The sequence below is a fragment of the Homo sapiens genome, chromosome 15 (genome assembly GCF_000001405.40).
Source record: "Homo sapiens chromosome 15, GRCh38.p14 Primary Assembly".
NCBI classification, from domain to species: domain Eukaryota; kingdom Metazoa; phylum Chordata; class Mammalia; order Primates; family Hominidae; genus Homo; species Homo sapiens.
In genome coordinates, this window is record NC_000015.10 from 33,235,976 (window position 1) to 33,248,120 (window position 12,145).

At 41.3% G+C, this 12,145-nt stretch overlaps 1 pseudogene across 1 annotated transcript, besides 1 other annotated feature; it reads right to left on the minus strand.

Annotated features, from left to right (window-relative positions):
* Positions 1 to 500: 500 nt before the first annotated feature.
* Positions 501 to 11,580, minus strand: TMCO5B (transmembrane and coiled-coil domains 5B (pseudogene); annotated as a pseudogene). The gene is made up of 9 exons (NR_046005.1): positions 11,494 to 11,580; positions 10,594 to 10,638; positions 9,780 to 9,929; positions 8,988 to 9,038; positions 8,262 to 8,330; positions 6,628 to 6,785; positions 5,559 to 5,623; positions 948 to 1,023; positions 501 to 656 (listed from the first exon to the last, which is right to left on the minus strand). The product of NR_046005.1 is annotated as a transmembrane and coiled-coil domains 5B (pseudogene) (transcript).
* Positions 2,250 to 2,419: a silencer, noted in NCBI's record as "fragment chr15:33530426-33530595 (GRCh37/hg19 assembly coordinates)". NCBI's record gives its function as "represses an EF-1alpha promoter that drives an FKBP-Casp9 reporter gene in an ReSE screen in K562 erythroleukemia cells {active_cell/tissue: K562}" and the evidence as "EXISTENCE:reporter gene assay evidence [ECO:0000049][PMID:32094911]".
* Positions 11,581 to 12,145: the final 565 nt, after the last annotated feature.

The following is a 12,145-nucleotide window of genomic DNA, read 5'->3' on the forward strand; positions in this document are numbered from 1 at the left end:
GAGAAAAAAGACAGCCCGAGGTCAAGCAGTGAAAGGCAAACCTCACAGTCATAAATGGCTGGTGAATTGCTTTCTTCAGGCAAAGTTGATAGGGGAAAGTAGGGAATGGGGCTTTTTATTAAAGTGCCACTTGAAGCTCTTCAGGGTCAATATTCTTGTTTCAAAAATTAAAAAAGCAAAGGCACAGAGAGTTTAAGGATCTTTTTTCTAAAATTTCTAAGCATGAAGATAACTAAGAAAATTAATGCACTCTGAACTTTTTTCCCAACAAGGAATATCACAGAGGTAATCAAGCTCAGGACTTGAAAAAATGGAAAGGTGCTATACCTAGGATCATAAGAATGAAAATTAAAAGTTAAATGCAACCTACATCTTTATCCCAAATTTCTCAGAAATAGCCACACATTTCTCCAGCTATTTATAGCTGCTGTTTAACTCTGGTGTTATAATTCTGCATTGAGAAAAGTAAGAATGGTTGGGAGAAATTTGGGGCTGCCTTATGTATTCTGATCAGTGGATGATGTGTTTATTCTTGTTCTTTTGGCCCTTATCAGGTAATGTGTAGAGTGAAATGTGGTCTAGGCTAGGTAAAAGCAAGATTCTTCCGCTTACTTGTACCAACACCTTCTCTCCTGTTTCTTAATGGTGGTCCTCTCCTGTGGGAAGCAATGAAAAATCACAGCTATGGCTTTTCGTGTGTTCACAGAGAGGCAGAATAGCAGAGACCCTGGAGTCAGGATGCCTGGGTTTGAATTCTGGCTCTGCCACCTCCTAGCTTCCATGGTGTGGGGTAGGAACTAAACCTCATTATTTCCTAATTATAGGATTATTAAAGAGGAGGGAGAGAGAGAGAGAGAGAGAGAGAGAGAGAGAGAGAGAGAGAGAGAGAGAAGCTAGGAGAGGGAAGGGATAGAGGAAAACCCAGGTTTGGAATAGGAAAAACTGGCCATGTTTCTTTGGGTGGTGTCTGCCAAAATTGATCCCGGTTTCACTGTTTGAGAGGAGTCATCCTGGGCTTTGGATCTAGGTAAGAGATCAGAGCCAAGAATTAGGTAACATAATCTGAGAGGCTGATGAAAGGTGCTTTCCTAAGTTACGCGGTATCTACGATTCATATCCTAGACTCTTACTAACATTCACAATGCTCAACATTTAAAATCCATAATTGCTAAACTTATAAAGAACCAGGAAAATGTGATTCATTTTTAAAAGAAGACAATCAATGAAAACTAAGCTGGATATAACCCTGATGTTGGATTCAAACTGCAGTTTGTGTCTTGGTGGCAGCTCAAGTTTCAGTTGTGGTCTTATGTCCTCAGCTGGGCTGCTCACACATTGCCCTGAGCATGCATGGTTTGGAAGTCCAGTCAGAGATTCAGGTATAGTTTAGACACAGATTTAGGAACTCCCCATGTCTGACTCTCTACTTTTTCCCCAGTATCTTTGGCTGCCTCAAACTCTTTATTCTCTATTTTGTTAGTCCAAAAAGACTATAGGTTTTCTCTGCTGGTGCATCTTACACACCCAGTTTGGTCTTTCTTCAGGCTAGAAACTATAAAAATAGGGGAAATAATGCCCATCATTCTCTTTTTCCAAGTGCCAGATCCCTTCCAGAATCTGCTTGCTTTTATTCACTCGCCAATACCTTCTGTTCATTGTTTGTTCATTTGTTTTATTTTGTTTTGTTATCCTAAGTTTCATTTTATGCAATAGGATTGAGTCCATTAATGGAAATGCCTGTAAATAATACCAGCAAATAATGCCTGCAAATGCTTGCAAATAATTCAATAAAGCAAGAAAAAGAAATAAAAAGATAAAGACTGAAAAGGAAAAAGTACAATTGTTATTATTTATAGTTGAGAAGCTAAAAGAAATTTTTAGAATAGGTGAATTTAGTGAGATTAATGATACAAGTTCAATATATAGAAACCAATTGTATTTCTATGCACTAACAGTAATCAATTAAAAAATCAAGGCTGGCATGTTGGCTCACACCTGCAATCCTAGCACTTTGGGAGGCCAAGGTGGGAGGATCGCTTAAGCCCAGGAGTTTGAGACCAGCCTGGGCAACATAGTGGGACCCTGTCTCTATTTTATTTTATTATTTTATTTTTATTTTTTGAGATGGAGTTTCGCTCTGTCACCCAGGCTGGAGTACAGTGGCATAACCTCCTCCTCCCGGGTTCAAGCAATTCTCCTGCCTCAGCCTCCCAAGTAGCTGGGACTACAGGCATGTGCCACCACACCTGGCTTTTTTATTTTTTTTATTTTTTTATTTTTAGTAGAGACAGAGTTTCACCATGTTAGTCAGGCTGGTCTCGAACTCCTGACCTCAGGTAATCCACCTGCCTCAGCTTCCCAAAGTGCTGGGATTCCAGGCATGAGCCACCACACCTGGCCACCGTCTCTATTTTATTTTTAATATTAATAAAAAAAGAAAATCAAATTAACACAGCATTCACAGTTGCATTAAAAATATTAAATACCTAGGAATAAATCTGATGGAAAGTGTATAAGAACACCACACAGAAAACTGTAAAACGTTATTTTGAGAAATTAAATATCTAAATAAACGAAGGGATAAAGATATCATGGTGTGTGAAACTATTGTTTATTTTTATTATTCTTTTTGAGATAGCATCTCACTCGGTGGTCCAGGCTGGAATACAGTGGTGCAATATATCTCACTTTTACCTCAACCTCCTGGGCTCAAACCATCCTCCTGCCTCAGCCTCCTGAGTAGCTAGGACTATAGGCACACACAACCATGCCCAGATAATTTGTTTTATTTTTTGTAGAGATAGAGTCTTGCTATGTTGCCCAGGCTAGTCTCGATCTCCTGGCCTCAATAGAACCTCCCCCGCCCCACAGTCTCCCAAAACACTGACATTACAGGCATGAGCCACAGCACCTGGCCATGGAAAATTATTGTTTAGATACTAATTATCCTCTCACTTTATCTATAGATTCCATGTAACTCCAATCAACATCTCAGCAAGGTTTTTTGTTTTTGTTTTGGTAGAAGTTGAAAAACCGATTTTAAAATTTATATAGAAATTCAAGGGGCCAAGAAAGCCAAGATAATCGTGCAGAATTTAAGCTACCATATCAATACTAATTATAAAGCTATAATAATTAGTGTAGTTTTGGCACAAGGATAGGAACAGAGACTAATTGTACAGAATAAAGCATCCAGAAACACTCACACATATATGGTCACCAGACATAAAATAAGACACCACTGCAAATGAATAGTATCTTCAATAAATTGTGCTGGATCAATTGGATATCCATATGGAAAAAAAACCCCACAAATTTTAATCTCTACCTCACACCACAGAAAAGAAAATAAATTCCAAAAGAATGTAAACCTGAGTAAAAGGTAAATGATAAAAAATTCTAGGGGAAACCACAGAGAGTAGTTTTATGACCTCTAAAAGGCAGAAAGCAAAAAAGAATGGATTGACACATTTCACAGATTAGATTTTTTTCTAAATTAATAACTATTGTTTATCCAAAATGTCATTAAGAAAGTAAAAAAGGAAAGCCTCAGAATAGACTATAATACACACATTTGACAAAGGATCTTATGAAAAAAATAAGGAACTCCTACAAATCAATTAGAAAAAGACTAACCATCTCACAGATGCAGGCGAAAGACATGTCACAAAAGAGGACATTCAAATTTCCAAACTGTGTGAAAAGCTGTAAGACATCATTATTAATCAGCAATAAAATGCACATAAAATATCATTATTGAGTAATAAAATGTTTTTTAAATCAAAATTGTATACATCACTACACCCTTCTGCCAGAATAGCTAAAATCATAAAGGCTATAAATACTGAGTGAAAGTAAGGATGAGGAATAGCTAGAACTCTTGTACATTTTTTATGGGAGGGGATATTGGTACAGGCACTTTGGAAAATTGTTCAGCTTATCTAGTAAACCAAAGATGTATATACTCTGTGACCTAGAAATTCTATTCCTTGGTATCTAACCCAAGAAAAATGAGAGGATACATCCATCAAAAGACATGCACAAGAATACTTGTAGCAGCTTTATTATAAATTTCCAAACTGGAAATAAGCAACATGTTCCTTAAGAGTAGCATAGATAAATTGTGCCATATTTCTATAATAGAATATAACAGCCATGAAAAAGAACAAATCATGCAGCAATGCGAGTGAGTCTTAGTGAAAGCCAGACACAATCAAGAACATACTAAATTTATATAAAGTTCAAGAATGCTTTAAAAAGAAAGAGATGCAAGTCAGGCTAATGGTTACTTTTCCAGGAGTATTGACTGGGAGGAGGGGACAGGGAGGTTTTCGGGAACTCAGAATGTTCCACAGCTTGATCTCAGTGGTGTTATCATGTATAAAAATTCACCAAGCTATATAAAATTTGTGCACTCTATGTACATTATATAATGCAATTGAAAAGTATAAATAATCAAAAGGAAAGTGTGACAAGTCCTGAGACATACAGTCTATGGAAAGAAAGTATAAAAGGGCATCACTGGGGCCTCTGGTCAGTCTGGTGGACCCACTGCATCCTGGGAAAGGGGACAGCACACACACATAAAGGAATATTTCTGGGCCCCTAGTCCTCTTTTTACTACGTTTCTTCCTCTCTGAACATAGCTCCAGATAATTTTCAGGAACTGCATGCCTCTGAGGACATGTGAAAAGAACATTAGGGCCGGGCACGGTGGCTCACGCCTGTAATCCCAGCACTTTGGGAGTCTGAGGCGGGTGGATCACCTGAGATCAGGAGTTCGAGACCAGCCTGGCTAACATGGTGAAAACCTGTCTCTACTAAAAATACAAAAATTAGCTGGGCGCAGTGGCACATGCCTGTAATCCCAGCTACTTGGGAGGCTGAGGCAGGAGGATCGCTTGAACCTGGGAGGTGGAGGTTGCAGTTAACTGAGATCAGACCATTCTACTCCAGCCTGGGCGACAAGAGTGAAACTCTGTCTCAAACAAACAACAACAATAACAACAACAAAGAGAAGAACATTAAAAAGAGATTTTTTTTTTTTGAGACAAAATCTCACTCTGTTGCCTAGGCTGGAGTGCAGTGGCCTGATCTTGGCTCACTGCAACTTCCACCTCCTGGGTTCAAGGGATTCTCATGCCTCAGCCTCCCAAGTAGCTAGGATTACAGGCGGCCGCCACCATGCCTTGCTCATTTTTGTTTTTTTTTAGTAGAGACGGGGTTTCACCATGTTGGCCAGGATGGTCTCGATCTCCTGACCTCAGGTGATCCACCCGCCTCGGCCTCTCAAAGTGCTGGGATTATAGGCATGAGCCACCGCGCCTGGCCAAAAAGAGGCTTTTAAAACACCAGTTGCTGAGGAAGGCAAGAGGAAAGCCTGAATGCTGTTGGTTTTCCAGTCTGAACCATGGAGCGGAGGCTGAAAGAGATGACTTGTTGGAGGCCATTTACACAGTGACACACACTGTGCTGAGAAGCACCCCGCCCTTCAAAGGCCGCCTGGACTGCCGGACTGCTACTGCAGTCTGTCAGGGAGGCCATTTTTCTAAGCTTACATTTGTTTTTCAAGAAGCAGCGTCTCCTTTTCCTCTTTCATCTTCCTCAGAACTTCCTGGTATTTCTTTCCATGAAGTTAAAAAATAAACAAAGTCATAAATGGAAAATTTCCATATCTCATCATGATGTCATTGATAAAAACATTCTGCTAATTATTTTCCAAACAATATACTCATCAGTATGCACACACCAGTGGGGGAGGGGTTCTAATAAAAAATTCAAAGATATTAGTGACCGGAATGGATGTGTATGAACAAAAAGAGCTCCCTCCCATTCAGGTCCCTGCTTGTATTCAAATCCCAGCTCTGACGTTTACTAGCTGTGTTCCCTGTTACTAGCTGCATTCTAACTTCCTGAAACCTCATTGTCCCCTTGATCATAACTGTCACGCTCATAGAATTATTGAACAAATTGATTGAGAAAAATACTATAGGCTGAGTGCTTAGCACAGTACTTGGCACAAAGTAAATCCTTAACATACATCCGTCTTCTTGTTGCTGTTGTATACAGAGCATTTTCCCTAGTGACACATTCTAGCCTAATGAAAAACCAAGGAACCCATGGCCTTGGAGATATTCTGCCTCTACTCGGACTTTTCCTCCACATGGGTTGCACCTTTATGTAGTAGACCTGGTCCTTACAGAGGTCAGACACAGATTGGTAGTCACTCTCTATCTAAAAAGAAAGAAAATTAACAAACCTCATGAGTTAAATCAGAACCAAGCCCAGTCTCCTCCCTGGGGCCCTACCTGGTGCACTGGCACTTGGCTGGTTACCTAGCAACTCCTGACTTGAAGGAAAAACAGTCACATCACAAAGAGGTGATCTCATCATTAGGCACAGGGTCTGGTTTTAAGCAAAGGAAATATTTTGCCCAAGTTGTCATCTGCCTCTCATGTGAAATACCAGGGGACGTGTCAAGGCACTTTGGTTTGGAATTCAACAATGGTATTTGACACAGAGATGTAAGAAATGGTAAAAGCAGTATTTTTAATAGAAGTTTTCTTTCCCTTCAGCTGCATAAGAATGCATAAGAATCAGAAATTCATTTGCAAGATGTTTTTGTACCTCCCCCTCCTATGCCTCAAGCAGATCTGTTTCTAAGACCCTTGGGATTCTCTCCCATTCTATCCCGGGCAGACCCTCAGTGGAAGAGACATTGCCTCTGCCTTGGCCAGTTCCTCCTCTTGCTTTGCACAGGACTCTGTTGACTTCTGTAGTCTTGCCTGTGGAAGACAATGAGTGACGGCAGAAAGTTACTAGCATTCTTTTATGGAAGGGAAGTGGGTAATTACCATATCCAGACCAGCAGAGGGCATGACACTAATGGCTATCATGTTGAAGACATCTGATAACAATTTAGGGTGGGCACTTGTTATTACCCCCTCCCCTCTCCATTTTACAAATGAGGAAACAAAGGCGCAGAGAAGTTGAGTATGTAACTTGTTAAAGTTTAAAGTGGCAGAGCTGACATTTACGCCTCAGTAGGCCAGTGCCCATTCAGTGAACCCAGCCATCCTCCTTCCTCCAGGCCTACTGACCAAAGCTCACAAGCCTCTTCCTCCCACTCATATTTCATAGGGTGCACTGGCATGTCCCCTGAATCACACAGAAAATAAAAGAGAAACCTGGGCCAGGCGTAGTGACTCACGCCTGTAATCCCAGCACTTTGGGAGACCAAGGCAGGCAGATTGCTTGAGGTCAGGAATTCAAGACCACCCTGGCCAACATGGTGAACTCTGGCCAATGTGGTAAAACCCCATCTCTACTGAAAATACAAAAATTAGCCAGGTATCGTGGCGTGTGCCTGTAGTCCCAGCTACTCAGGAGGCTGAGGCAGGAGAACTGCTTTAACTCCCGGGAAGCAGAGGTTGCAGTGAGCCGAGATCTTACCACTGCACTCCAGCCTGGGTGATGGAGAGAGACTCCATCTCAAAAAAAAAAAAAAAAAAAAAAGAGAGAGAGAAACCTGGTTTCTCTTTTTCTGAGAAATACATAAGACAGTGGAGCTCTTGTATAGTGGGCTCAGTTAAATTGCCACACTCACCACATAAGTATGCAGAGAGCTTCCTAATAGGGGTTTTCCCCACTATTGGGTGTCCAGTGTAGTCATTCATTCAATATATATTTATTGGGCATCTACTATGTGCCAGGCACATAGTTCTAGGCCCTGGGGAAACAAATGAACAACATAGGCAACAATTCATGTTCTCAATGAGTTTATCTTCTAGCAGAGGAAAAAGATAACAAAATAAATTTTAAAAAAACTTCTTTGGCCTTTGAGCCATGGGTTGGAAATCAGAAGATCATGACACATCCCTGTATGACTATGGGAGTCAATATTTTCTTCCTATTGAATATCTTATTTGTGTGTCCTCACTTAAATAATAAGCTTCTGGAGGGCAGGTCCCAATGGGCATTCAGAACATGTGTTTTATCGACTGATGGAAGATGGGGACTCTGGAGCAGTTCCCTCCACTTTGATCCACTGCAGTCATCTCTGCTCCTAGTGTGACTAGTGATGTCATAAATGCCCCCACAGGCCATGGGATTACATGCAGAGAATAAAGGACAGTGACTCATCTCTGATAAGTACACAGACATAACCAGTACATACCCTAGGGTAGTCCTTGAGAGCAATTTCTCACAGGACCTAGAATTGACACATCTCCCAGAAAAATCTGTTTGTTTTTTCTACTCACCTTCATTTCCTCCAGGATCTGCTTTGTGGTTTCTTCTTCAAGGCCAATATTTGTAAATAACCCTGAAATCTAAAATACCATTCAAAAAATCATGAACTAAGTAAGGCACACAGACATGAAAACCTGGGCCAGTGGCAGACTGGGGTCCCAGGCTGCAGATGGTGGTTACTAATTCGGGCCCTGGATAGAAGCTTGGAAGAAAAGCATCTCCTTCTCTCTGTGGAGGCTGCCTGACTCCATGTGGGCTAGACAGACTTTTCTGTTCCCACAGCCCATGGAAGAAAGTGCACAGTGAGGAGGGGAGGACAATGAGAAAGGGAAGAGAGAATGGGGCAGAGTGGGAGGAGGGATAAGTCTTTTCCCCCTCTAAAGCCCTTTAGCCCTCTCACCACAATCTGTAATGCCCAGAGAACAATTGGCAGCAGCAGTGCAGAGGGAGCATGCAAACTTTGCCAGTTGCTCCTTCTTCTCCAGTCTCTGTGATTACAGAGTTCTGGAAGATAACTCTTATTGATAAGATTCCTAAGAAACGAGGCTTGTTTCCAGGGCATGCTTTGCTATGTGGAGAACAGCCTTTCCGTTAACGTTTATGTATATCTTTTCTCATTCTGAATGTGCCTAGGACCCCTCCTGCATACTCCCAGCCCAGCCCACCAGCCTTTCTCTTGTGAAGACACAATGTTCTTAGGGACTCGGGGACCCTAAAAAACCCAGGGCTCCCCTTACCTTTTTCTGAACCTCCACCACATTCCTGCTTAGGATTGCGTTACTTTTCTCCTGTGGGGAAAAAGAAAGTCAAGGGAAGAAAGTTGCTCTGCCGTCATCTCTCCCCCTTCATCAGGCCACTGGAATAATATCTGGGGATTAGTCTATCAAGTCGGAAAAGTGCACTCTGGCTCACACAGCAGATCTGGGAAAAAAGCCTCTTCGGCCCCCATGCCCAGTGCTTCATTCCCAGAACACTCTCTTAAACAGCCATGATTTGAGACACAGAAGCAATGAACATGGGATGAATTCCTGGGAAGGAGAGCAGCAGAATGCAAACAAAATGCATCCAATGGTCCTTTTCTAGACACCTCCTTACCAGCTTTGCTGTCTCTAATTCCAGCTCCCTCAGGGATTCCTCCTGTTCATCTATGACATAGTTCAACTCCTCCTCCTCTTTGGCTTCTTCTAGTGACAAGGCCAGCTTTCTTTCCAGGCTGAGAAATATAAAGTCACCCAGGTGTGGCTCAGCCCCTAAGAAAGCTGCCAGGGCCCCAATTTGAGAAGCTACTTTCGAAGTCTCAGGAAGTCAGAGTAACTACCAAATGCAATGGCGATAAAATGTCAACCTAATGTGAAAATTTAATGCAAAAATCTATACCTGAAGTATTTTGAGGGCACTGTAGTTCATACTTTAGGATTTAAATAAAACGTCAAGATTCACCATCAAATAAGTGAAACTTTCTTCCACCTGTATCCCAAAGGACCTGCAGGGGCGGGGAGGCCCTTCCCCCACCAACCACAAAGCCTTACCTTGAAATAGTTTCTTCTTTCTCTTTAATCTTTCTAAGGAGAACCTGATTCTCCATATCCAGTTTCTGCAGGTCCTTTTCAAGGTCTGAATTCAGGCAGTCAAGGTTCTGTTTTACAGCTTCTAATGCTGGTAATTATATCGTCTGCTACCTACAGAAAATCATCTTTATCACCAACCTCAGGACAGGAAAACATAGGAGCCCTAAGAAGACGTTCCCCTATAGTTTCACTCATTCTCTTATCTTCTGTTGTTAATAAGCTTAACCAGCCTTATTTTGTTTTCCATGATAAATTGATTTCTACACTATTTTGCATAAAGTAAATTCCTGGAGTGGAGCCACATTTTAATTTTAAATACTATAAATGGAACCCACTGAAACAAAGCTTTCATGAAGCAAAAAAAATATTTTTTCTATGAATACTTTAACACACTTGTTTTAAAATATCTTAGATGAAGTATGCAGAATCCAAGTGATACCTCTAAAGCATTTAGAGACCTGCAAGGGAAAGGCTTCTCCTTTTGCTATCTTCTAACCTAGTCAGGCAGGGACATGGGCTGAGTAGAGGCCAAAAGGGTGATGAATCTTTTTCCTGCCAGACTGATTAGCTGTTTGAGACACTAGAGATCTTTGAAAATCCCATCATTATTCTGATGAAGAACAGAGAACTGAAGCCAAAGTTTCTTATCCCTAGGAAGCCTCCTCAGACTTGAGGAGATAAATTCTCACACAGTGGAGTTCTTCCTTACTGGATTGCTGGAGACTCTTCCCGTGGAGCTTCCTCTACTGAACTCTTTTATTATTCCCATACTTACACATCATCCAGTGGATTCTGTCCAACGTCTTCCATCATAGCGTCCCTAAAATGTGAACACAAACATCCGTTATGGAAAAGCCCCTAACAGCCAATGCAGTAATTGCCCCAGGAATGAGCAGGTAAAAGGTAGACCTTGCGTTCAGGCCACACAGAGCCAAGAAGAAACGTAAGCCTCCTACACTCTCATGCTTCCCATGATCAATTGCAGTATTTTTTACAAGCTAAATTTCAGTAAACCAGATCATATTTTAATTTAAAAATCTCATAAATGAAACCCACTGGAGCACAGGAATCTTTTTGTTTTCAAAATTTTCCACACTTTGGCTCCACTTTCCTTTTCTCACCTACATTTGTCCCGTCACAAGTTACTAAGAGTACTCATGTATGTCTATTGACAAATATACTGAGTGTTTGTTTTTAACCAAACCTTCAGAGAAACTTTAAAAAATAGTAGAAGAGTTAGAGGGTACCAAAAAGTTGGCTGACTGATTTCTATTAGCTTATTACCATCCTACTTTCAAAAAATCTCTATTATAAGTGGAGTTAACCCTAAAACAACAGCAGAAACAGCAGCATGGGCAACAGGATACAACTACTGAAAGGAAGAAACACATGTCAGGCTCTCAGACACAGCATATCCTAATCATCGCACTACACAAGTTCAGGACCAAATCCAACCTAAGAAAAGTAGAGAACAAAATCTGTATTCTCCTTTCACATTGCATCTTCTCTTCTTTTCCCTTCCTGTTTAAGCTCTTTTGTTTTAATCTCCTTTTCAATTTCTTCTCCTGTCTCCTCCTTTTTTTTTTTTTTTTCCCACTCTCCCTGGATTTTACTTTTCTTTCTATGGTCTTTACACATAGCAATGTGGTGTGATGATGATGCCCTCTGAGCTCACCCTTCTCTTCCCAGTTGAGATTTCTTCTGATCCCAACAGAGATTTCCAACTGAACGTCAGAACTATCAGAAAGGGCAATGCCTTACTGATAGTAAGCACGCATAGCTGGACCTATTATATAATCTCTGGCTGGGCCGGCCAGTGTGTCATAGTGGGTTGGGTGGGTGAGGGTAAGCAGGGGGGCGGGTGGGGCAGCAACAATCCATCTGTGGCATCACTGTGGGCACAGTGGGAGCAGAGTTCAGCCCTTTAGGACGGTCTAGATCTCTTCTGTAGCAGCAATAAGATCTATGAAACAGATTTCTAGGTACAGTTTAAATCTCTTCCAAAGCAGTAATCAGTTTTATAGAACATATTTCATTTTTCCAAATCTCTAGGCCTAATGGTACCTGTGATCACTTTCATTTCTCTTCCATGATCTCTGTGTGGCATGTGTACAAATTGCTGTCCCCAAATCCAAAGTGTGCATCTATATTGAATGCATCCAGGAGCTATAAGGTAGGGATGTCAGAGAGCAAGCCAGGAAGGACCTGAGAGAAGACTTATCTAATAGCTAAGCAAGCCCTCATTCTCACCCAATCAGATTCTTGGAGTTGCAAAACAAGCCTCTTTATTTTCCCTTAACTGGCAATGCCATCATTGGGAAAAAAGG